Consider the following 26459-nt stretch of genomic DNA (forward strand, 5'->3'; position numbering starts at 1 on the left):
GGCCTGGGTGACAGAGTGAGACTCCGTCTCAAAAAAATAAAAATTTTTAAAAAATGAAATAAAAATTAAAAGCAAACATTGAGCAAGAAAAGGTGCCAGCCTGCTGAGGTACCATCTCTGTCATTGTAACTACGCCAAAGGCAGATGGATGAGAGAAGGGACCTGCCCTTAGGCTGAAAGATTTGTTATGTTGGTAGCTGGTGGTGTTGTCTGGAACTTATGAATTGTATTTTCCTTGTAGCTTTTTCAGAAAGCAAGCTATTTTTTTCTCTTATTACAGCTACTAAATTTTGAGTTATTCTCACCTTTATTCATTTTTTAAAATGTGGGCCTGCAAAAGTATATCTAGTACTATAACAATATCTTTTTTCCTCTAAATTTTTATTTTTTAATTTTTGTGGGTACATAGTAGGTTTATATATTTATTGGGAGTATAACAACCCCTTAATAGGGAGAAACAACATTTGAGGGGAGGGAAAATATGTATACAATAAACAGAGTGGGGTCACATGATAACATTCTAGGCATTTTGTCAGAGGTGGACCTAAAATTTGAATCTGAGCATGCTGGTATCTTCAAAAGGGGGAAACATGGGAGGCCGAGGTGGGCGGATCACGAGGTCAGGAGATCGAGATCATCCTGGCTAACACGGTGAAACCCCGTCTCTACTAAAAAATACAAAAAATTAGCCGGGCATGGTGGCGGGGGCCTGTAGTCCCAGCTACTCGGGAGGCTGAGGCAGGAGAATGGCGTGAACCTGGGAGGCGGAGCTTGCAGTGAGCGGAGATCGCGCCACTGCACTCCGGCCTGGGCGACAGAGTGAGACTCCATCTCAAAAACAAAAACAAAAACAAAAACAAAACAAAACAAAAAAAAAAAAAACGGGGGAGGAGGGGCGGGGCGGTAAACATACAGTCAACAAATTCACAATTTCCAGAAGATAAAAACAAACATGTTTGTTCAGGGCAAATGGTGCTCAGGCTTGAGAGAAATTTGTCTTCATAAAGACAATACTATGAAACTTCCATTCCTGGGGCGGCCTTAGCACCAGCCTGGTGGGACCGGACCAGCCAGCCAGCCTCCCCAGGCAGCTCGCTGAGAATGGGAGGGCCAGCCCAGTGGCGCCATGATCCTCCTACCCTGTAACTCCCACAGTAACTAGCTGCTCTACACCGGCTTCAGCCAAGACCACGGATGCCTTGCTTGTGGGATGGAAAACGGATTCTGAGTCTATAACACCAATCCATTAAAATAAAAAGAGAAACAAATTTCTAGGAGGAAGAGTTGGTCATAATGAAATGTTATTTTGCTGCAACTATTTAGCTTTAGTTGTTGGTGGAAAAAAGCCAAAATACCTTCCCAACAAAGTGATGATCTGAGATGACTGAAAAAGAAGACTGTTAATGAAATAGAATTTGCTACAGAAGTCAAGGCAGTCAAATTGCAGCGAGATAGAATTGTGGTTGTTTTGGACTCCATGATTAAGGTGTTTGCACTCACACAGAACCCCCATCAGTTGTACATCTTTGAAACCTCCTAAAACCCTAAAGGCCTCTGTCCTCTGTCCCAATAGCAACAACTCTCTTCTGGCCTTGCCAGGCATGCACACGAGCCATGTTCAGCTCGTGGACTGGGCCAGCACAGAGAAGCCACCTGTGGACATTCCCGCTCCTGAGGGCATCCTGAGCTGCATGATACTCAACCTGCAGGGAACAAGAATTGCAACCACACTCGCAAAAGGGACCCTTATAAGAATATTTGATACCTCATCAGGACATTTAATCCAGGAACTATGAAGAGGATCTCAAGCAGCTAATGTTTTCTGCATTAACTTCAATCAAGATGAGTCCTTCATCTGCATATCCAGTGACCACAGCACAGTGCACATTTTTGCAGCTGAAGACCCAGGGAGGAAAAAACAGTCCAATTTGGTGTCAGCTAGTTTCCTTCCAAAATCCTTTAGTTGCAAAGGGGTTTCTCCAAGTTTCAGGTTCCCTTGGGCTCTCCATGCATTTGTGCCCTTGGAACAGAGCCAAATGTGGTCACTGCGATTTGTGCAGATGTCGGCTACTACAAATTCCTATTCAACCCCAGAAGGGAATGCATCCCAGACATCTATGCGCAGTTTCTAGAAATGATCTACGACAAGCTGTGATTCCTCAACCATGAGTGCAACAGCACCCAACACTCATTATCCCTGAAACTCCTGGGGTTGGTGCCAGTGCCCCATGGGACTCTTGGATCACGGGCTGGCGGGTCTGCCCAGGGACCTTGGTCTGAAACCATACGTAGTTGTCTGATTTCCTAAGAAGGACTCCCATTTTGGTATTAAAGACAGAATCCTCATCAAGGTACTACAGACACTCCGTGGCTCTAAGTAGGCCATGCTGACTGCCTGGCTGTCCCCGTTAGTTCTGCTGGGACTGACAGGGTCTGCAAACAAACCTGGGGGCTGGGTCGAGAGGATGGGCAAATTCAAGGGTGTTTTTGCAACAGACTCCATCATTTTTACTGAATCTACAGTGGGGAAACGAACAAGTGTGTAAATGTTAGTTCTTGCATTATAAGAAGATCACTTGAGGTCAGGAGTTTGAGACCAGCCTGGCCAACACGGTGAAACCCTGTTTCTACTAAAATACAAAAATTAGCCAGGTGTGGTGGTGGGCACCTGTAATCCCAGCTACTCAGGAGGCTAATGCAGGAGAATCGCTTGAATCCGGGAGGCAGAGGTTGCAGTGAGCGGAGATCGTGCCACTGCACTCCAGCCTGGGCGACAGTGAGACTCCGTCTCAAAAAAACAAACAAACATAAATATTGAAATGAAGAAATAAAATAAGTAATTAAAGACTTAAGAAAAGAACATGATATTAGGCAAGTTTGAAAAAGTATCAAAGCTAACATGAAATAAAACATTAATGATTGAATTTCAACACTCAGGGACTGGGAGCTTCAGTTGAGACACATCTGAAGAGGGATCTGGAAAACAGATCTAAAGAGGATGTCCAGAAGGCATGGAGGAGACAAAGAAAGGGAATGAAGAGAGGGAGACTTGACCAGGACTAACTGTTGAAATCAGTCCCAGAGGGAGAAAGTAGAGAAAACAGGGCAAAGATAACATTTGAATTTTTAAGAATTAAGGAAAATCATGAATTCTCAACTTTAGGAAGCACAGTCCTGAGCATGATACATAAAAACAAATCCATGATAGGCACAGTGTAATGCAACCATAGAAACCCAAAAGACAAAGATAGAATCTTAAGTTGCAGCCACAGCAAAGAGATAAATTCCTACAAAGCAACAATAGACCAGAAGACAGAATGTTGACTCTGTCCAAAGTGCTGAGAGAAAAATCGCAGTCCTTCTAGGGTCTTCTGCTCAGTGAAGCTAAGCTATCAATCAGTCAAGAACAAAGGGGAAAATACATATTTTCTTTTTTTTTTTTTTTTTTTTTGAGAGAGAGTGTTTCTCACTTTGTCACCCAGGCTGGAATGAAGTGGTGTGATCTCAGCTCACTGCAACCTCTGCCTCCAGGGTTCAAATGATTCTTCCACCTCAGCCTCCCAAGTAGCTGGGATTACAGGCATGCACCAAGACTGCTGCCTAATTTTTATATTTTTTGGTAAAGACAGGGTTTCACCATGTTGGCCAGGCCGGTCTTGAACTCCTGACCTCAAGTGATGTGCCTGCCTCTGCCTCTCAAAGTGCTGGGATTTTAGGCATGAGCCACTGAACCCGGCCAAGTCTCAAAAACTCAGATAGTTTACCCAAAGTAGATCTCCTCTGAAAGAACTTCTAAAGTTTGTAATTCAGGGAGAAGGAAGTTGAACTTAGAATCAAGGACTGATAAGGAAAGAGAAATAATGAGTAAAGAAATAGATAAAAGAGTAATTATAAAAATACAGAATGAAACGATAATAGTAACACTAATGACTAATTAAAGAGTAAAGAAAAAGAATCAAATTATCAAAAAGTAACGTTTTGTCATTGGTCATGCTAAAGAATTCTAAAGTTCTTGTATTAGAAGGAGAGTGAGTAACGTAGCAGCAATAACAATAACTACAGTTAATTTAAAAGCCTGCTCTACACATGGCATGGTCTTAAGCCTTTTTAGGTAATTAACTTATTCCCCAGAACAGCCCTGTGAGTTTGATATTATTATCATCATCACTATTTTGCCCAAGGGGAAAACTGGCCCTCAGGAGGCCAAAAGTGACTTCCCAAGGGACACAGTGGGGTGTGGCTGAGTTGTGATTCAATCTGGCACAGTCGGGTTCTGAGCAGGTCTTCCTAACCATGGCGATGTTACATTGATACTTTGTTAAGAAGTGTGTCAGCATTTTAGGAGAAGAATTAAAAGAACAGAAACAGAGTTGACAGCTTCTAAATAAATTGAGCAAAAATGGAATTAAAAATACTTGATCATGTCAAAAGAAGACAGGAAGAGAAAAAAATCATAGAAAAAGCACAATAAATGAAAAATCATATGGAAGATATAAATCCAAGTATATTAGTAATATCAATAAATGTAAGCAACTAATGGTATGTTTTGAGGGGAGTAAAGCAGAATGGTTAAATTGAATATAAAAAAATCCATATACTGCAGAAAGGAGACAAACCAAGGAAACAAAAAAGATGAAAGTAAAAGAATGGGAAAAGATGTTCCAGGCAAATACTAACCAAAAGAAAGCTGGTATAGATACATTAGAAGCAATGATATTTTAATTATCACCGGTTTATTATTTGGCTTTAAGGCAAAAATCCTGTTTAGGGATAAAGTGACCACATAATGATAAAGGGTTAAATTCTCCAGGAACATACAACAGTTTAAACCAATAGCAACACAATACTAGAGTCTTAAGGCCCATGCAACAATGAAACAAAACATGACTGAATTATAAGAAGAAATTGAGAAATCCACAGTTATGATGGGAAAGTTCTCTCAGTGAACAATAAATAAAGCAAACAAAATTTAGTAAGGCCATGATACAGGTGAAGAACACAAATGATAAAGGAACCTTCATGTAGTGAATATACGTAGAATCCTTAACCAGACAATGAGCAAATACATATTTTTACATGGAATATTTGTGAAAATTGACCGTGCGTTACCTAGACCTAGGGCAAATTTCAAAGAATAGGTATACAGACCACATTTTCTGACTACAACAAAATCAAATTATAAATCAAAAACAAAAATAACTAGGATATATACATAATATTTTTAAAACACTTTTGAATAGCTCATAAGTAAAAGAAAATCATAATAGGAGTTAGAAAACATTTAGGACATACCAATATTAAAATATCATACATAAAAATTTGCAAATTAAGCTAAAATAATACAAAGAACAAGTGTTATATCCTAAAATGCTTATATAAGGAGAAACCTAAAAACTTCATCTTAAAGAGTTAGAGAAATTATAGCAAAATAAATTCTGAGAAAATGGAAGAAGAAACTAACAGAAAACAAATTAATGAAACACAGAACAAAAGGGCAACAAACATAATTTAAAAACCTAAAAAATACTACAAACCTCTGGCAAGAAAAAAAAGCACAAACATTATTAGGACTAAAAAAGGAAACATATAACAAATTCAGCCTAAATTTTTAAAAATTGTAAGAAAGACTTCTAAATTTTTATGTTCCTCAAAACAAACTCTCAAGAGATATAAAGCAAAATGGGAAGAATATTCTAATCCAACTAGAAACTAACGTTAAAAAATAATAGGAAGAACTTAGAAGAGAAATAAAGAATTCTATAATCACAAGAGGGAAATTTGAATACATCTTTTTCAGTTATTGACAGAAATAGCCTTCAAAAAGTTAGTAAAACTATAAAAGATTTGAACAATGTGATTTACAAATGTGGCTTAATAAACATACACAGAACGCTGAAGTATGGGATTGTTGTTACCATTCTGATAAAAATGTTTTCTAATGTTTCATTAGAATATTTCTAATATTTCATTGTGATTTTGCCTTTTATACACAGATTATTTAGAAGGGAAGATTAGAAAGGAAGAAATAAAACCATTTTCATTCACAAATAACATGATTGTCTATGTAGAATATCCAAATAGCTTTTTAAAAGAAAAGAGAAAAACTCCTAGAACTAATATAAGTGAGGTTAGTAAAGTCACAGGATGTAAGATCAGCACTGCTGAGCTTAATATTTTGCTGTTGCCATCTTGAAATTCTGAATAATTTTTGAACAAAGGGCTTCACATTTTTATTTTGCACTGAGTTCCACAAATTATGTAGCTAGTCCTACCTAAGATGTCATAGTAGCTGTGGTCCTTATTCAAGAGTTATCTAACTGCAATGTCCACATTAGCTTTATTTCCAACCATAGTCATTGGAAAAATTTGCTCAGTGCTTTACTCTGAGAATTTGTCATTGATTTTATTTATATGTTATTCTCAAAAAGATGGTTCTTCAAAACCACCTCCATGAGAGACTAAGAAGGCCAATGGGAAACCTGCTTTGCTCCTCATACGCTATTCTTTCATGACTCCAAACTCTTCTTATCCCAGTATATCCAAGCTGCTCTTGATGGATCACACATTGCTGCACTGCTAGCAATTACACATGGCTCTATGTACAAATCTTCAACGGTTGGATCACACTTTAGGACGAAATAGGACTGAATGAAGTGGACAGCAAATGCTGACTTGCCCCTGACACCTCTTTCAATCTCTTGTCCATATCCTTGGAATGTTGCTAAGCCCACACTAGCCCACAAAACCCCAATCCCTAGGTCCAGCTCCAGATGTCTGCCTGGCAGGCTGATAGAGAGTAATCAGGTGAGCCTCCAAAAGGGCGAGTTCACTTAGGGGTACCACTGCACCAGAGGCTGGTCAGGGTTCTTTGAGGGATAGAGATGTGTGGTATCTGGCTGGAACATGTGGTAGCTAGTGAGGGGCTCTCTCCTCAGCACCTGCTCCCTCTTAATATCTTTGGATTTAACTTACTGTTGTTTTTGTTGTTGTTGTTTTACTAACTTATTGGAATGAATGCTTAATTAATTTATTCTCCTTTTTTCCTAATATATTCTTACAAGCCTATAGATTTTCTTTTAAGTACTATTTTGGCTTCATCTCAGATTTTGATACATAGTATTGTTGTTACCATTCTGATAAAAATGTTTTCCAATATTTCATTGTGATTTTGTTTTTTATACACAGGTTATTTAAAAGTGTGTTTTTATTCATTTCCAAACATATGGGGTTTCTCTAGGTTATTTTTGGTTGATTTCTAGCTCAGTGGCATTATAGTCAGAATACACACTTTGTATGATTTCAATCGTTGAAATTTGTTGAAACTTGCTTTATGGCCCTGTCCAAAAAAAAATGGTTCATGGTTTACAGTCATCATAAAAATGGTCAATTTTTATAGATACTCTATGTGCTTGAAAAGCATGTGTATTGTGTAGATATCTTTGCTTTCTTCCTGATTTTAGGAATAAGCCTTTCAATCTTTCACCATTTTGTATAATTTAGCTATAAGGTTTTTGTAGGTGCATTTTATGAGGTTGAGAAAGTTGCTTTCTTATTCCTAGGCTGCTGATAACTTTTATTATGGGGGCATTTGAAGTTTGTTAAATGGTTTTACTGTATCAATTGATATGATCATGTGATTTTTCTTCTGTGGTTATTATGGTGGACTATATTGATTGGTTTCCAAATATTGAAATAGTCTTGCTATTCCTGGATAAACTCCATTGATCCTGATATTTTATTTTTTTCATATATTCCTGGGTTTGATTGCTAATATTTTGTTGAGGATCTAAGCTCATGAGGGATACTGGTCTGTAATTTTCTTTTCTTGCACTGTCTTTGTCTGGTTGCCAGAATCTCTGAATACAATGTGTATTTGTCTTATTAATATTTTTCTTTCTGCTGCATCAGTTTTTGCTTCATGTATTTTGGAGCTATGTTATTTGGTGCATTTCCCCTAAGATTGCTATGCCTTCGTGATGGACTTATTCCTTTATTGATGTGTAATATTCTTTGTCCTTAGAAATTTTCTTTGCTCTGCAGTCCAATTTATCTAATATTCATATAGCCATTTCTGAGGATTATAAGCTCCTATCACTTATGAACATAAATTCAGAAATTCTTTAAAAAGTAGCAAACTTTGTTCAGTAATATCTGCAAAGATGATATATTATGACCATGTTGTATTAATTTCAAGGATGCCGAGGTTTACTTTTAGAAAATAAGAGATTAAAGGAGCAAGTCAAATTGTCTCAGTAAATGAAGAGAACAATTTTGATAGAAATTCCACATTCACTTGTAATTAAACACACCTTTTAGCAAGCAGAAGAAATATTAGTGTAAATAATACTAACTGCTCTAACAAGCAAAGCAAAAATCTCCATGGCTTACTGGTGGTAGTGATGGAGGCAGTGAGCATGGCGGTACGATCTGTGGTGCGATGCCTGGCAGAGCCTTTAGTGGTGTCTACTTTAGAGTAGCTATGCAATCTCCAAAACTGATTCTTTGGCTCTCTGGGGAGTCTGCGAGCTACACAATATCCTTTATTACACCTATTTTCTGCTTAGTCTTGTGAGAATTAGTTTCTATTGTTTCCAACTAAGAATTCTGACGGATAGAAAATGTGGTGCCTGATGTGTACCACATCAGTGAATAGTAAGGACTCAAATATTTCAAATTGGAAGGTTGATAACCTTTATTATATTGCGGCAAAATATTTATCAATCTGTTGCCTGTTGTCTTTTGAGACATTGACCATATGCCAACCGTATGGCATATGTTAGAAGACATACGGAAAAAAATCACATTGATGGGGCTCCTTTTTGCAGAGTTCAGCAAAGTTCTAAGGAAGATAAATAAACTCAGGCTAGGAGAGAACCACATCAAGGTCATGGCCATCACATAATTAGCTAAGAACTCTGAAATAAGGTACACTTTTGGGTTTCTAGAAAGTTTTAAATGTGTAGTACCATAAAAGCTTGATGTGCCCAATTCTTGTCAATATTTCCTCATCAGAATTGTTGTGTGATTTTTAATACATAGAGTTGACCAAAATAAAAACCTTCCATTTAGTTTTGAAAGATCTGTATTAGCAAAAGCGCCACCAGTCTGGACTAAAAGGGACTGACTATTCAAGATATAAAAAAAAACTTCTAAGCTTCAGACTTCATATGGAAAGAAAGAAAAAAGATAAGGCTATTCAGCCACCAAAAAGTGCACATTCTCCAAAGTGCCCTTTTCAGACGGGCACTTCAGAAGGACATAACCCAAGGAGTGTTATGGAGAAGAAAAGACCTTTCAGAGGATGGATCCAAGAGTCACCGAGAGCAATGAACTGATGCAGAAATGTAAGCTTATTGTGGGAAAAGTAGAAATAGAGATGAGCAAAAAGAAATACCCTCTCATCCTACCACCCTATCAGAGACACAGTTAACCTTGAATGATTTGGTGTATAGGTTTCCAGACTTTCCCCCGTGCCACCAATAACTCGTGCCCTTCTGTGTAGCTTCTCTTAGTGCTCTTGTGACTCTGTTCTTTGCATTGATGGAAAAGCCATATGTGGTGGCTCTCCAGGATTCTTGAAAAAAGCTCAGCCCTGGCCTTTCCAGACAGCTCGTTGGGAGTTTAGAACACCCTTTTGTCATCCCTTTGAGATCTTGGCTGGATGCCACCCTGGGCTCCTCTCTGGCTCACTACCCTCCTCTCCTGGCCTTCTTCACCAGCTTTGGTTAATGAAACTTGATGGATCATAGTGCCGAGCACTGTGCTTCGTGCTGGGGGCACAAAGATGCATTTTACATAGTCCCTGCTCTTAAGGAGCTGAGTGAGGATCTAGTGGGTGGAACCAATGTATAAGCAGAAACCATTAAAATAATCTAGTCACTAATTTCAACAGTTCCCATGAGGGAAGCATTTAAAAATGATTTCACACGCAGAGTTTGGTCCCCAATTTTAGAAAAAACTTATAAATCCTGTTAAAACATGGCTTCAGCTAAGAAGTCCCAATGAATTTTAAATGTTTATTTAACATTTAAAGCAGCAGATTTACGAGAAATCTATTCAAAATGTTGAATTTATAGTAGTTGTACCCTTTCCACATGTTTTGCTTATAGCTCAAATTAGCCTTTTTAAAAAACACAGTTGCTTAATGATGCTGAATTAATCATTCACTCAGCAATAATTAATTCTTACCAGTGGAAGCACGATGACTTTTCTCATAAAACATGGAGAAAAACAACTCATTTAGTGACTTAGTGACAAAGTAGTATGTTGGAATTTTGATTGCAGTAACTGAAGATGAGTAGGGTTATTGAGATCATACTTTTTTGCACATTAAAAACTATTTCTTATTAAAGAAATTTATTAATAAAAATAACATTTATTTTCTACTTGTGAATGTATATAGAGTCATGCACTTTTATTTTATTTAATTCTCACAAAAACCCTAAGGGTAGGTATTTATACCTACATTTTCCAAATGAGGAAACTGAGGCTTAGAGGGATTAATTGACCCAATCAAGATCAGAGGACGACTTATACAGAGCAAGGATAAGATTTGAACCTAGGTCTGCCTTTTCACCATTGTGATAAACTGCTGAATAATGATCATTGTGGGCACCATTGTAAGCACTTCACAGGTATTAAATTACTTAATCCTCTCTAACAAGTTTATGAGAAATCTATGACTATTACCATCTCCATTTTAGAAATGAGGGAAGAGAGGCACGGAGAGAGTAAGTCACTTGCCCTAGGACCCTGAGCTCGTAAGTAGTGGGGCTAGGTTTTGAACCCAGGCCTCTAACTCAGGCATCCATTTTTTTGCTCACCTCACTCAAGGAAAGCCATTATTGTTTATTAAACAAATTGCTTTTTGATACACATAAAATATTGTAAAAATAAGCATTAGCAAGTGATTTGTTCATGAGCTGTGATGGCCACTGTGTGCCTCCCATTGCACTGGATGGTGATTGTGAGAAAAGAAAAGACCACAGTTCTTTTTTATAGAACAGCATCTCACTCTATCACCCAGGCTGGAGTGCAGTGGCATGATCATAGCTCACTGTAACCTCAAACCCCTTGCTCAAGTCATCCTCCCGCCCCAGCCTCCCAAAACACTGGGATTACAGGCTTAAGCCATGGGCACGGTCCCACAGTTCTCGTGTTCAGTGAGCTAGATGGCTCTTATCAGATGATCACAAGGACAATGGCGCTTTCAGGGAGGTTCGGGAGCCAGGTGTACATCTAGCAGGGACCAGGTTGGCCTGTGAGATTGAAAGGGAAGTCCCACAGATGGTCAGAGTGCCATCTCCTTGGGATGACAGAAAGCTGTCCATGAACTGGGTTCAGTGGCTCATGCCTGTAATCCCCACACTTTGGGAGCCCAAGGTGGGTGGATCACGAGGTCAGAAGATTGAGACCATCCTGGCCAACATGGTGAGACCCTGTCTCTACTAAAAATACAAAAAAATTAGCTGGGCATGGTGGCGGGCGCCTGTAATCTCAGCTACTCAGGAGGCTGAGGCAGGAGAATCACTTGAACCCGGGAGGCGGAGTTTGCAGTGAGCTGAGATCATGCCACTGCACTCTAGCCTGGGTGACAGCAAGAGACTCCATCTCAAAAAAAAAAAGAATGCTGTCCATACAGAAGCTGCCATGTCCGTTTCCACCAACAACTACCTCTGGCCTCCAGGGCCTTCAGCAAGGGAAGAGAGGAAAAGGCATTTGGAGTGTGCCACAACCTTTCAACTGCGATGAGAGACGCTAGGCACTGGAAGGCTGGCTCCAGTGATGGCATTTGTTCTTTGGAGTGACCCTCTGATCAGAAGAAGCCCTCTGGACCAACTGTGTCCCATCCTTCTCAGCTCTTTTTTATCCGAGAGGGAGGGGTAAGCTACTGAGGACAGCACAGGCTACAGGGATCCAGCGGATCCAGAGATCCACTGCTAGAACCGAATGCTGGCTAGTGCTTGAAGAGGATGCTGATACAACAAGCCATCCAAGGACACTGAAAGCAGCAGAAACCTTCACTGGGCAGGCAGTGTTCCCAGCACCTCGGATCTCCAAGAAAGGCTGAGGCTCTTCTTGCCAAGGGAAGAGTTCAGGACATCCTTGGAAGCAGAAGGAAAGCTAGGATCCATCCACCTGGCAGGCACCTTCAGCCTGTCTTTCCTTTTTGTTTTTAGTCTTTTCCCTATTCTCTTGTTTGTGCAGACAGAATTAACTTCTACATAACTCACTTTGCAAATCTCCAAATAAAAATCATGGAAAACATCATACTATATGAGCAAGTGATTGAACATCTCTAAGTCTTACTATGTCTCATCTGAAAAGCGAGGAAAACCACAGGATCTATCTTATAGAATCGAGATCAAATGAGCCAGTTTGTATTTTAGCTCAGTGCCTCAAAATAATTATGCCTGAGTAATCCAAGTCTACCACCTGCTGGCAGCATTAGGTAAGTGCAGAATTTGTTTCTTCAAGAGGCTAAAAACTGGTGCAAATTGGGTCAGCAAATCCTAAAGAGAAGAATGGCAAACATGATCACACCTCTGACCCTCTGCCTGGGTTACTGAATGGACCAGATTTCAGATGATTTTCAGTATTGATGTTGGTGTCGTTTAAAAGTTAGTTTCTGAATTATTTCTTGATCAGATTACTTAAACCTACTTTACATCGACCATTCTTTTGGGGTTCCCTATTTTTCTTAGAATTCTTTAAGGACGCTGCTTTGCATTGGTGATTTCATTAGGTAGAGTCTCTCTCTCTCTCTTTCTGAGTGGGTGTGTGACTGTATACAAAAATATATAAATATATGTACATATAGAAAACGTTTTAATATGTATAGAGATGTGTATATGTATATATAGAGAGAGTATTTTAATGCATCTATGTGGAGTGTGTGTGTACATTGAGAGAGCTTTAATATATAGTGCCCATTCTCAGCAGCAGATCTAGGTTTTGTGAGCCTAAAATGCATGCAATTTTAAAGTCATCTTTAAGGAAAAGAATACAAAATCAGGCCAGGTGCAGTGGCTGATACCTGTAATCCCAGAACTTTAGGAGGCTGAGGCAGGAGCATCACTTGAGGCCAGGAGTTTGAGACCAGCCTGGGCAATATAGTGAGACTTCATTTCTATAAAATATTAAAAATTATCTGAGTGTGACTGCATGCACCTGTGGTTTCAGCTACTCTGGAGGCTGAGGTGAGAGGACTGCTTGAGCCAGGGAGGTGGAGGTTGCAGTGAGCCAGCCTGAGTGACACAGCAAGACCCTGTCTCGAAAGAAAAAGAAAAAGAAACCCTGCAAAACAAAAAACAAACCAAAACCCAATAAAAACCCAACCCCAAACAGAAACAAACAAAGAATATAAAACCATGAATTAAAAATTAGATACAAAAAGATTGACTTGCATGAGAAGAGAAGGGGCTTTGGAAGAAGTCTGCACAGTAACAGCCCTGAGCTGAAACCTTGTTACCTTTGTAATAAATCTGCCTCTGCCTGATTTCTCACTGCCTCCTTTTCTTGTCCATCTAAGTGCCGCCCAACCTCTCCAGGGTTACTTTTACAGTGCTTTTTGCAGTTTACAGAGTGAAGCACTTTTTGTTAACTTCCTAAACGGTCCCATGAAGACCTGTCCTGGTCTTTCCTCTTCAACTTATGGGTGGAAACAAATTGTTTTGACATCACTCGGAGACACTACTTGCTGCAGTCAGGACAGAGTCCTCCATTCATTGTGACCTGGGGATTTCCTTTCCACCTGGGTGCTGAAGCTCTCTGTTGCAGGAAGCATGTCTGGTTATCAAAAATTATTATCCTCGGTCGGGCACAGTGGCTTACACCTGTAATCCCAGCACTTTGGGAGGCCAAGGCGGGTGGTTCACCTGAGGTCGAGAGTTCAAGACCAGCCTGAGCAACATGGTGAAATCCTGTCTCTACTAAAAATACAAAAATTAGCTGAGCATGGTGGTGGGTGCCTGTAATCCCAGCTACTCGGGAGGCTCAGGCAGGAGAATTGCTTGAACCTGGGAGGTGGAGGTTGCAGTGAGCCGAGATCACGCCACTGCACTCCAGCCTGGGTGACAAGAGCAAAACTCCTCAAAGAAAAAAAAAAATTCTCTCATTTCCTCCTGGGGCACAGCAAATATTATGTCACATTTATCCACAGTTTGGTAAAATAGCCTTACTTTTTTTTTTTTTTTTAGCTAAATAGATAACTAGCTAAAACTTTTTAACCAGAAAAGGTGAAGTTACCTTAGAAAAAATAATCGAAAATTGGACACTCAAGACCCTTCTACCCCCATACAATTGCTTTCCAGTGGCTAAAGTCAATGTACACTATTTGTATTCTGTTTTACTCTAAAGATTTTGTGTATTTCAACATGGTCTTCATAAGTACATTTAAATAATGCATGGTTGTATTCATGTATTATAAGTAATACAAATATACCTCATATTGATAGACATATAAATTTCCAGTTTTTAATTTTATAATTAATACTACAATAAACCTTATTTTTGAACATGGCTATTTATTTATTCATTTTTTTTTGCTCCTGCTAAATTATTTTCTAAGAATATGAATGGAATTCCAGGATAATATTTATGAAAATATTGCCAGGTACAGTCATAGTATTTTCCACTAGAAATGTGCAATATAAAGCGTGCAGTGTTTCACTAGCATGCAGATCCATGTGTTCAGGTTCCCTGCAGTTGGGCTTTCAAGTGTATCATAAGGAACATACACTCCAGTTCTTCCCTGGTGTAGCTTGTTGTGTTCGTGGCACCTTCATAGGACCAAGGAGGCAGCATGTACAGCCTCTAGGGAGAATGAACCAGAGTGGCTTCAGGATTTAGAGAAGGTAGAAGTGTGCCTGACGACAAGAATGCGGGGAGAGTAACGGGAACTGAGGAGTGGACAGAGTGACCCTGCATCTTTCCCCACCCAGTTCTAGTGAGGCTGGGAGGCTGAAAGATGCAGGCTCACTCCCAGCATCAGTGGGGCCCAGGACAAAAGTTCAAATGGATACCCATATGTCATATGTCTAAATATTTAACATTCATAAATTAAACATAAGAAATATTAACTAAAATATGTGCTAGCCTCCTACTCTGACAAAATCCTTGGCACTCTGCATAGGAGCACGATGGCATGGGAAGAGCTGGTCCAGCTCCTGGTTGCCAGCCATAGCCTACAGCCATTTTCTTCTCACCCTTGAGCCGTGAACCCCAGATGTGTAGACACTGGAGACTATACATTCAAACTCTGTCCATACCTTCCCCTGCAATCAGCTGCCATTTAGCCCCTTTTCATGCTTAGGGGTGCACCCCTACGGATGCTCTGAAAATGACACACACATACAGGCCTTGGGGACATGTTCAGAGTCATGTGGGCATCTGAGGTCCTGGTGCCTGGAGAATAGTCTAGAGAGCAGCTTGGGTTCCAGGTGGGCATAACATCTTGGTCCTGTGGACTTGCCCTATAGGGAAGGATGGCAGGAGCAGGGCCAGGATGAGGCCCTCCAAAGCATGGAGCCCAAGGCAGGGGCCTTTCTTGTTCTGGGCAAAGGGCAGTATTGTTAAAATTTTTCTGGAGAAAGTAAACTACCCCAGAGGAAAGACCTAAAGATAGTCAAGAAATAAGCCATTTGTCCACTGGTTTGGTCTGCAGTGGAGTCCATCAGGCAAAGTGCCTCTATTATACCCTAGAGCTTCCAATCAGCTTTCTTTCTTTCTTTTCTTTTTTCTTTTTCTTTTTTTTTTTTTTTTTTGAGGCAGAGTCTCGCTCTGTTGCCCAGGCTGGAGTGCAGTGGTGCAATCCTGGCTCACTGCAACCTCTGCCTCCCAGGTTCAAGCGATTTTCCTGCCCCAGCTTCCCAAGTAGCTGGGATTACAGGCGCCTGCCACCACACCCAGCTATTTTTCGTAGTTTTAGTAGAGACAGGGTTTCACCACATTGGTCAGGCTGGCCTCAAACTCCTGACCTCAAGTGATCCGCCTGCCTCGGCATCCCAAAGTGCTGGGATTACAGAAGTGGGCCACATTGCCCAGCCTCCCAGTTGGCTTTCAATGTGATGAACAGCCAAGGATCATGCCATTTGAGGAAAGTGTCTACTATAAAAGAAAAAAACTGAAAGAAAAAGAAGAAAGGAAGAACCCAAAGTGTACAGAAACAGTGCAGCAAAAAGAAGAAAACTTTAAAGAAAATGTGGTTAATAATATCAGGGAAATCCTGGAAATAAGAACAAGATATTTTAAAAAGAAAAATCACAGAACAAGACAGAATTCTTGAAAAGTAAAAACATGAATGCTGCAATACAACATTCAGTAGAAGAAAAGGAAATACAGTTTAGGAAATTTCCCAAAAAGTAGAAGAAAATAATCAGAGAGATGAACAGGGCAGAAAAGTTAAGAAAATTAGAGAACCTGCTTAGTGATCCAACATCTGAATAATAGGAGTTCTAGGAAGAGCAAGCAGAGAACACTGTGGAGAGGAAATGATCAAAAACAGGATATAAGAACATTTCTGCATCAAAGAGCAGGATCTCTGGATTAAGTAATATCCACAAAATGACAACAGGATGAATGAAAAAGAATCCCCACCAGGGCACCTCATCATGGAATTTCAGTATATTGGGAATAATGAGAAGGTTCAAAAAGCTTCCAAAGAGAGAGGGGAAAAAAGTTACCTATACAATGTAGAGTTACCTATACAGTTGCCCCTTGATATTCATGGTTGTTTGGTTCCAGGACCTCCCTTGGATACCAAAATCCGTGGGTGCTCAAGTCCTTCACATAAAATGGTGTAGTATTTAACATAACCTATGCATATCCTCCTGTATACTTTAAATCATCTGTAGATTACTTATAATATCTAATATCATGTAAATGTTATGTAAATAGCTGTTGTGTTGTTTAGGAAATAATGACAAATAAAAAAAGTCTGTACATGTTTAGTATAGATGCAAGCATTCATTCTTTTTTTGAATATTTCCAATCTGTGTAGGTTGACTCCATGGATGCAGAGCCCACAGACACAGAGGGCCAGCTATACCACAGCACAAATAGTCTAAAGCAACAAGAAAAATTAGAAGACAATGAAGCAATGCCTCAAAATTCTGAGTAAAAATCATTTTAACCTAGAATTGTATAACATATGTGTTATATTGTTTCAGAGATGACTACAACATTTCTTCATATCTGGGTACGTGTACCTCTTTGCAATGTGATTTCACTTCTCCCATCAGGGAGTGGAATCTATTTCCCCACTTCTTGAATCTAAGCTGATCTTAACTTATTTCAACCAAAAAAAAAAAAAGAGTAGCAAAACTGATACAGCATAATTTCTAAGCCCAGGTCTCAAGAGATCTTGCAGCTTCCACTGTTGACCTCTTAGAATGCTATCCTAAGTCTACCAGTGTAAAGAAGCCAGGTCTAGCCTATTAGATGAGAAACCCAAGGAGAGATGAACCATTCTAACTGAAGCCCCCATCTGGACCAGCCAGCTGACAGCCAGCGTACATTACCAGGCATGGAAGGAGGCTATTTTAGTCCCACCAGTCCCAGTCAAGCTTCTAGATGACTGCAACTACATGAACGATCTCAGGTGAGACCAGATCAAATTGCTGATCCACAGAATCAAAAGAAAATAAAATGGTTGTTATTTTAAGCTACTACATTTTGGAGTGGTTTCTTATACAACAAAGACTAAATAAAACAGGAATTGGTACCTAGAAGTAGAGTGCTACCATAACAAACCCCTAAATTGTGTGACAGTGGTTTTAGGACTGGGCAGGGGGCAGAGGCTGGGAAAGTGGTGAGGAAACCATTATTTGAATCTGCATGCAGATGAGGACTTTCTCCTCGGGTACAACTGCTCTGATGCAGAGACCTGTTACCGTAAAAGACAAAGTGTATAGCCCTTTCACACTCAATATGCAATGGTGAAATTGGGACAGAATAACTTCAAGAGGCACTCACATTTAAAAATAGACAGACTGGGGCCAGGTGTGGTGGCTTACACCTGTGATTCTAGCACTTTGGGAGGCTGAGGTGGGTGGGTTGTTTGAGCCCGGGAGTTAGAGACCAGCCTGGCCAACTGGTGAAACCCCGCCTCTACTAAAAACACAAAAATTAGATAGGTGAAGTGGTGTGCACTTGTAATCCCAACTACTTGGGAGGCTGAGGCACGAGAATCTCCAGGAGGTGAAGGTTGCTGTGAGCCAAGATCACGCCACTGCACTCCAGCCTGGGTGACAGAGTGAGACCCATCTCAATAATAATAATAATAAAATAAAAAATAGACAGATTGGAAGACACACAGCAGTCATTGATTCATAGCAATGCTGAACTCCAGCCAGACACATGTTGCCAGTTTCTCTTACTCCAGGAGACTACGGCCCAGTTCTGCTTCCTGGGATGGTTTCCAAGTTTTTTGTTCCCCACGATCCTTAGTTCCCATGCTCTGATAGAACCTTCCTTTTCCAAAGGTAATGGCTGCCGTGTTTGCAGCAGAGAAACTTTCTTACTTTAGTTTTTTTTTTTTAATTAATTTTAGTTTTTTTTTTTTTTTTTTTGAGACGGAGTCTCGTTCTGTTGCCCAGGCTGGAGTGCAGTGGCATGATCTCGGCTGACTGCAAGCTCCACCTCCTGGGTTCACGCCATTCTCCTGCCTCAGCCTCCCTAGTAGCTGGGACTACAGGCGTCTGCCACCACGCCCGGCTAATTTTTTGTATTTTTAGTAGAGACGGGGTTTCACCGTGTTAGCCAGGATGGTCTTGATCTCCTGACCTGGAGATCCACCTGCCTCAGCCTCCCAAAGTGCTGGGATTACAGGTGTAAGCCACCACGCCTGGTCTTTAGTTTTATTTTATTATTAATTCAGGTACAGTTTTGTTATGTGGGTATATTGCATAATGTTGAGGTTTGGGATTCTAGTGAAACCATCACCCAAACAGTGAATACAGTATTGAGATGGTATTCAGTAAACAAAATAGGTAGCTTTTCAACCTTTGCCTCCTTCCTCTTCCCCTTTTAGAGTCCCTAGTGCCTATTATTTCCATCTTTATGTCCATGAGTGCCCACTGTTTAGCTCTCACAAGTGAGAATATGTGGTATCTGATTTTCTTTTTCTGGGTTATTTCACTTAGGATAATGGCCTCTAGCTCAATCCAAGTTGCTGCAAAGGACATGATTTCATTCTTCTTTATGTTTGTCTGCTTCTTATCCATTTCAGGTTGGAGTTCCATAAGTTTCTTTTTATTTTGAACAATCTCAGTCCCTTTTAGCCTAAGCTGACAGTGCTTTCATAAATACAACTATCTGAAAAATGTTGTGGATTTTCTATCAGTCTTACTAGGGTTTACTCCATGTGCCAAACACTATACACATAATCCTTCCTCCTCTGGGCATGTCATGCTGCTGTGGAACAACACCCTTAAGATTCTTAGAAGCTCTTTTGTATAAATGAGAAGATCTGCTAGGCACTACCTTAAATCTCTCTGAGACTGTAACAAAGTGTCTTACAACTGAATTTCAACATTTTTTTTTCATAGCTATGGGGTCTTGCTCTGTCTCTCAGGCTGGAGTGCAGTGGTATGATCATAGCCCACTATAACCTTGAACTCCTGGGCTCAAGCAATCCTCCTGCCTCAAAAATGTGGTTGAATTTCCCACACTGGGAATTCCCCACACTGGGAATTACAGGTGTGAGCCACTGCGTCTGGCCTACAACCACATTTTTAAACTGATCTTTACCAAGATTATTTCTTACTGTGAAGGTCTTTTACTAACTGGAGAAACTGGGGGTGAGAAATTGTTTATTTTATAACCCAGCAAATTTTAACTACTCACTCTGTTTGCAAACAGAATTCATTGTAATATGCAGCTACAGGTACCCAACAGATACTTCCAACATACTGACTAAAGATCTCCTTAGCCAAGTTTATAAACTCATTAGTTACATTTTCTATCTTCCAAATTACTCTAGGCAATTGTCCTGTCAATTGTTTAATTGCTGCATAACTCAGGTAACCATTTTTTTTCCAGTCTTCAGTAGCAATTTCTTTACCAGGTTTCCTAGGCTAGATCTGGCCTCTTCACATGGTAGTCCCAGGCCAATATTCCAAGAGTGTGAAAGGAGATGCCGTAATGTCTCTTGAGGCCTAGTTTCAGAAGTCACACAATGCCACTTCCACCATATTCTATTGGTCAAAGCAAGTCACAAAGCCTCCCGAACTCAAGGAGTGGAGAGATAGACTTCACTTTGTGACAGGAGAAGTGGCAAAGTCATATTGGAAAATGGCGGGAATACAAGGGGTGGGAGGAATTATTGTAGCCATCTTTGCCAACAAAACTGCCACACCAAGACAAGTGCTAGGACAATGATTTAAGATTGTTTGAGACATAAAATTTTTCAAAACTTCATCCTTTCTCAGAAAGCTACTGTAGTATGTACTAACAAAAAATGCGAGTGTAAACTAAGAAATAATAAGATAAGTGAGCTGGGAACCAGGGGCACCTGCAGAAGAGAAAAGTCAAGAAAATATCCAGGAGGATAGGGCTGAGGGAGCCACATTTCAAATTGGAGCAGGAGGATGGAATAGAACTGAAAGCTTATTTGACAATATTGAGAGAGGCATTTGTAGGACTGTTGCAGGATATGAGATGATTTAGCCAGCTGTTCAAGAAAAAATAATAATCAAATGAAAAAAATTGAGGCAAACATTAACTTGAGGAAAAACAAAAAGTTGTACAAGAAAGGGCATGTAATCCTGTACACAACTTGGCACAGACAGGAACAATATTAACATCATAAATTTTAAAATCACTGCATAAGAATTTGACTAACATTGTGACAGAACAATATTGGAAAAGGAAATGGACTATAAAGAAGCTAAAACCCTCCGCATGACAGAAGGTCAGTGTATTATCTAAAATTGATAGCTCAAAGTACAGCAGTGTACTCACACTATTTAGAAACGAGTGGCTCTGGAAAGTGTGTATGTTAAGAAGGGGTGTTGTAAACTAGGGTCAGATGTCTGTTTCTGATATCTTGTTATAACTTTTTATTACTCTTGGCCTTTTAAATTAAGATAAATCATTACATTACTAAAAAGAAATAATTTAAAAATTAGGCTGAGAAAAAAATTGGCTGTTAGAGGAAAAAATATTAGTAATTAGTAAATTTTTGCCAAGGCAAAAATCCTTAAAAGAATTAAGGATAGCCTATATAATTAAAAAGTCTGAAGGTTTCATTTTAGGTGCCAGTCACTGAAGTTTTCAGATTAAAATTTAATAAGGCAAATTCCAATCCTGAAAATCTTATAGTTAGTGGAGTAGGCATATACAAGCATACATTTACAATGTAACATGAAAAGTGCTACAGTAAGGGCATATGTAATTTGAGACCACAGAAGAAAGACAGACAATCCTTGTTTGGGGTAGAGTTGGAGATGTCTCTCCAGAAGAGTTGACATTAGAAATGAGAATTGAAGGATAAGTGGGTTCAGCTGACTGACTAGATAGGCAAGAGCATTCTAGGTTTAGATGCTCACCATGAGAAAGCTCAGCATGTCTGGGAAAGAGTAATAAGTTTGGCATGGCTTGAAAGCAGGCTGTGAAGCTGGGAATGACCAACCATATGCCTGGAGTGGTAGACTGAGGCAGGTCTTAGAGGGCTTTGTGAGTTGTGCTAAGGGGTTTGGAATGTAAGGATTTTACCCTGTGGTGTAATATGTCAAACACACATCTTAGAATGATCACTGGCTCTGGGGAAGCCAGTGGAAGACCAAATGCAGGATGCAAGTCTGGGGAAGTCATTAGAAGACTAGCATAGAAAGTGAGGGCTAGAGAGAAGGGAAGAATTGAGAAATATTTTAGAGGCTGATTCAGTAACAAGTCATAGTGACCAACGCAAGATGCAGGAGTCAAAGATGACTTTGATGTTGATACATTCATTAGACATTTATTGTGTGTCTTCTCTGTGGTAGGCGTAGAGTTGAATATGGCATGGTTGTTGCCCAGAGGAGCTTTTTCTTTAGTGACAACACAGACAATAAATTAACAGTAACCATAGCTCTGGTGTTCTATGCTCCAAGGGCTTGGAGAGCATTGGAATCAGCAGACAGGCAGGTAAAGCAGTCTGGCAGACGGCAACCTTGTGGAAGAGTTTCTGGATGGGCAGCCAGGTTGGGGTGTTGGGTTGAATGTGTAATTGAGTATGATGTGGTAACCAGGATAGGGATGTTTAGTTGCCCAGTGAAAATCAGAGCCTAGAAGGGAGGAGAGGGACTCCTCTGTGAGTATAGAGTTGGATGCATGCAGGTTGAGGACGGTTGAAGCCAGGAAAATCTAGAGGAAATGTGAACAGGACCAAGAGGAGGATGAAGCCCAGAAAGACTTGAGAAGGAGCTGTCAAAGGAGGAGGAGAACCTACAGTGGGTAGAGCTATTGAGCTGAGGGGGTAAGAGTCTGAGAAAAGAATCTTCCATGGTGCCATGGTGACAGATGCTGCCAAGAAAGTGGGTAGCAGGGCCAAGGTGTCCTCCAGGTAAGAAAATTAGGCTGGCATTGATGATCTTAGAATGGCAGGAAGGGGTTTCCTTCCAGATGTCATGGGGTATGGAGAAAAGGTGATGAGGATGCTAAGAAATGAATATGGCTCTCTCTCAGAAGTTGGTTAGGAAGTGATGATGAGATAAGCCAGGGAGCTAGAGTGAGAAGTGGGCTTCATAAAGATGCAGCTTTTAAGATGGAAAACACTTGAGTATTTATTCTCATTAGGATTGAGTACATAACTTATGGGGCCCAGTGCACAACTAAAATGCCGGGACTCCTTAAAAAAGTATTTAAAAAATTCAAGACAACAACAGCTAAACATTAAACCAATTTGGGACCCTTTAAAGTGCAGAGCCCTGTGTGGCTTCAAGAGTTGCACATCAGGAAGCAGGCCCTGGTTCTCAGGGTAAGGGGCCAGGGGAGGAAGGTGGAAGTGAGTGGATCAGTGATAGAGCCCCAGGCAAGAGCAAGTGGGATGAAAGGGACCCAGGGTCCAGGTGGGGGCAGAGCCTTGAATGGGAGGAAAAGTATGACTTTGGTCACCTTCTGAGAAGTGGGAGATGGAAGATGGAGAGGAGATGGAAAATAAGATGAAAGATGAAGAGGAGAGGGTGCTAGAAGTCATTCTGGAGAAATTATTTACCTTATTGACTAATTTCTGAGTCGAGGAAAGGGGCAGAAGCTTGCAGCAGCATCAGTGGAGTAAGAGGCTGAGGGGCTTTGGGGTGGAAGTGGGGCACTGAGTGGTCCCACTAGCAGCAGGCACTTGGTAGATGGGGCAGAAGCAAGCCAGGTACCCAAAGGACAGGTGGGACTGAAGGAGGGGTGTGGAGAGGAGGCCCCTGAGAGGATGGGCTGGGATCCGGGTTGGAAAAGTGATAGGAAATGAGGTGGCCAGGACTGGAGGGCTCTCTCAGTGAGGAGGGAGGTGGACGTGAAGGTGGAAGTGCAGGCGGCCCATCTCAGAGGGGAAGAATTCGTGCGTTTAGTATTCTGGCTGTGAGGAGATGCGGAAGTTGGTGGAGATCCAGTCTAGATCAGGGGTCCCTAACCCCGCGGCCGCAGACCGGTACTGGTCCGTAGCCTGTTAGGAACCGGGCCACACAGCAGGTGAGCGGCCAGTGAGCGAGCATTACCGCCTGAGCTCCGCCTCCTGTCAGATCAGCGGAGGCATTAGATTCTCATGCCAGAGAGAGCCCTATTCTGAACTGCGCATGCGAGGGATCTAGGTAGCGCGCTCGTATGAGAATCTAATTCTTGATGATCTGAGGTGGAACAGTTTCATTCTGAAACCATCTGCCCTTCCTCCCCCAAACGCCCCCCACCCCCACCCCACCACTGTCCGTGGAAAAATCGTCTTCCACAAAACCGGTCCCTGGTGCCAAAAAGATTGGGGACGGCTAATCTAGAGGATTCATTCAAAGAGTTAAATAACAAAGAAAGTAGAGCTAGAAGTTCGTCTGGAAGGAGCGGAAGTGTCGTGGAATTATTATTTTAAGATCAGGCATAAGTGTGTATGTGTGGCAGGGAGGGAGATCACGGAGAGGGAGAGGTTAAAGATGTGGGTGAGGCTGCTAAATAGGGATAAGGGTTTCTTTTCCCTTGAAACCAGAGGAAAGGGAGATAGACGCGTTATAGAGTCGCCTTGAAAACACTCGGATGTTAAGAGAGACTGGGTGTTATGAGGGCGATCTATATAAGGGGGGAGGAACCAGGAACTTGGCTGTGGCCTGGGAATAGGGAGAACCGTGAATTTTTCTTGAAAACGAAGGGGGTCGCCCGTGAGCAGCGAGGAGAGCGGTGGGAGGCAGCGCCGAGTCTTGCCGCTCCCGCCTGGCAGGGGCGGGCAGGACGCAAACCTTCCTTCCCAGTCCCTCGGTTACCAGGGCATCCCCGGCTCTCTGCAATTCGGGAACCTTGCCAGAAGGGCTCCCACCTCCCCAAGCCCCCGCGGCCCCACAAGGTCCAATTAGGGCTTTCGGCGGCCTAACTGGGGAGAGGCCGTGGTGATGCAGAGGTTTAACCAGCATCCGCCGGGAGCCCCGGGGTCCAGGCCCGGCGCTGGAGTCCCGCAGCGAAGCCTCGCAGCCCCCACGCCTCTCGACTCTAGGCTTGTGCCCTAAAAGCGGCCTGGGTTCCCTGGCGCACCCTCCTCTTTCTTAGCTTCTTTGTCCCTAAGGGAAACCTCCCCGTACCCTTAGGTGGGGCTCCCGGTCACTGCCACCACCCCTCTTGCTGCCGAAGCCGGCTCCCTGGCCACCTGGTGCCCTGCCGGGGTATTCCAAATCTGGGCAGCAGAAGCCGGCCGCCGCCGCCTTCATCTGGAAAGGCTTAAGCCTTCTCCGGGTGGGGAAGAAGTCAGAAGGCCGCCTGTCTCCCCGTCCCCCAACCCCCCAACTCCCCAACTCGGTCCTCCAGGCTCCGAGGGGTGCAGCTCGGCCCTGGGCCGCGGGGCGCACGTGCAGCAGAGTCCGGCCGCCCGGCCTCCCCGCCCCGCCTCCGCCGCCGGCCTTTGGCGCAGGGCTGCGGATGCCGCGCGAGCCGTCTCCTTTGCACTTTCCCGGCTGCGGTCCGGTCGTTCGGGGCAGCCCGGCCGGGGGTAGAGGACCCGGAGGAGGGGAGGAGCCGGAGGGAGAGGGGAAGGAGGGGGCCCGCCGGCCCCGCCCCCGCCCCGCCCCCCGCGGCCGGAGCCCGGGCTGCAGCCCGGCGCGCCTGAGCCTGCGAGTCCGCGAGCCAGCGAGCTGCGGCTGCGGCCTCCCCTGCGCGCAGCTACCCGGGCGTCCCGGCCCGCGGCCCCGCTAACCCCGGGGCCCGCGCCCCCGCGGCAGGGATGCATCATGGCCACGCTGGCTTGCCGGGTGCAGTTCTTGGACGACACGGACCCTTTCAACAGCACCAACTTCCCCGAGCCCAGCCGGCCGCCGCTGTTCACGTTCCGCGAGGACCTCGCGCTCGGCACCCAGCTGGCGGGGGTCCATAGGCTGCTGCAGGCGCCGCACAAGGTACGACCCGGCGGGGTGGGCTGGGCCCCCTGGACTCAGCCCCCTGCCGCGGTGCGCGCCGGGGTGGGTCCCGGGGCTTCGTGGGCCCCCTGGGCTGGGCTGGGCGCGGCCCGGGGGGACCATCGCTCGAGGGCAAATCCCCCTCCCCGTTAGACAGAAGGGCTCGAGGCACCCGCTGGTTGGCGCAGGACCCTCCGGGGCGGGCGGGAAGGAACAGCTAGAGCCGGGGGCGGGCGTGGCAGAGCAGGTGCCGAGCCGGTCCGAGGCGGGATGGAGAAGGCTCCCCCGAGCCGCGCCGTTAGCTCGGCCGGGTGGGCGGGGTGGGGCTAGGACGCGGGCAGTCGGCCTCGGCACTCGGGCGGGCACCAAGCGGGGCGCGGGAAGAAGCGGAGCGCCGCGAGACTCAGGTCCCTTGGAGAGGAGAGCTCTGAGCGACGGCCGGGACAAAACCTCCCTCAGGCCTCTGGGGCCGCTGCGGGCGGCCACGCGACCCTCGCGACAAAGCACGCTTCCCGGCGACACCGCCTCCTCCTTCCCCCGGGGGCGCCGCCGGGGACGCCGGCCGCACACTGCGATAGCGCTCAGGGTATCCCCCTTTTCTTCTGAGAAGCAGGTGGCCTTGGGAACCTCGGAGGAGCAGTCGCTGTGGGAGGAGGGGCGGGGGCGCGGAGGGGCGGCGCGCTCACAAAGCCTCAGCTTGGCAGCCCGAAATGAGTGTCCCCTGGGAAGAATGGCTGCTCAGTCTACCCGTTAGAGAGGTTTTTTTTTTTTTATTTGTTATTTTTATTTAAATAAAACCTTTTGCAGGAGGATAGGCCTCTTGCAAAGCATTTGTTGCAAAGAGGTGGGTATTGAAAGCTAATCATTTCGTTACCTAGGAAAACCCTTACTCTCACTTAGACAGAT

At 43.1% G+C, this 26459-nt stretch overlaps 1 protein-coding gene and 1 pseudogene across 40 annotated transcripts in view, besides 4 other annotated features; both read left to right on the forward strand.

The window, feature by feature from the left end:
- LOC791126 (WDR45-like pseudogene) lies at positions 1021 to 2523 on the forward strand (annotated as a pseudogene).
- Positions 24112 to 25089: an enhancer, noted in NCBI's record as "H3K4me1 hESC enhancer chr18:33876522-33877499 (GRCh37/hg19 assembly coordinates)". NCBI's record gives its function as "activates a minimal SCP1, AML or CMV promoter by ChIP-STARR-seq in naive H9 embryonic stem cells {active_cell/tissue: H9 hESC(naive)}" and the evidence as "EXISTENCE:reporter gene assay evidence [ECO:0000049][PMID:30033119]".
- Positions 24112 to 25318: a biological region, named in NCBI's record as "H3K4me1 hESC enhancer GRCh37_chr18:33876522-33877499".
- Positions 25029 to 25318: a silencer, noted in NCBI's record as "silent region_9403". NCBI's record gives its function as "represses an Ori minimal core promoter by ATAC-STARR-seq in GM12878 lymphoblastoid cells {active_cell/tissue: GM12878}" and the evidence as "EXISTENCE:reporter gene assay evidence [ECO:0000049][PMID:35858748]".
- FHOD3 (formin homology 2 domain containing 3) overlaps positions 25266 to 26459 on the forward strand; it is a 482508-nt gene continuing 481314 nt past the window's right edge. For all 40 annotated transcript variants that reach the window (XM_011526189.2, XM_011526190.3, XM_017026008.2 and 37 more), the window contains exon 1: positions 25266 to 25553. In XM_011526189.2, coding sequence (XP_011524491.1) covers positions 25389 to 25553 — 165 coding nt within the window. In that variant the 5' untranslated portion in view covers positions 25266 to 25388. The remainder of the gene's footprint in view (positions 25554 to 26459) is intronic.
- Positions 25439 to 25508: a silencer, noted in NCBI's record as "silent region_9404". NCBI's record gives its function as "represses an Ori minimal core promoter by ATAC-STARR-seq in GM12878 lymphoblastoid cells {active_cell/tissue: GM12878}" and the evidence as "EXISTENCE:reporter gene assay evidence [ECO:0000049][PMID:35858748]".

The sequence above is a fragment of the Homo sapiens genome, chromosome 18 (assembly GCF_000001405.40).
Source record: "Homo sapiens chromosome 18, GRCh38.p14 Primary Assembly".
Taxonomy (NCBI): Eukaryota; Metazoa; Chordata; class Mammalia; order Primates; family Hominidae; genus Homo; species Homo sapiens.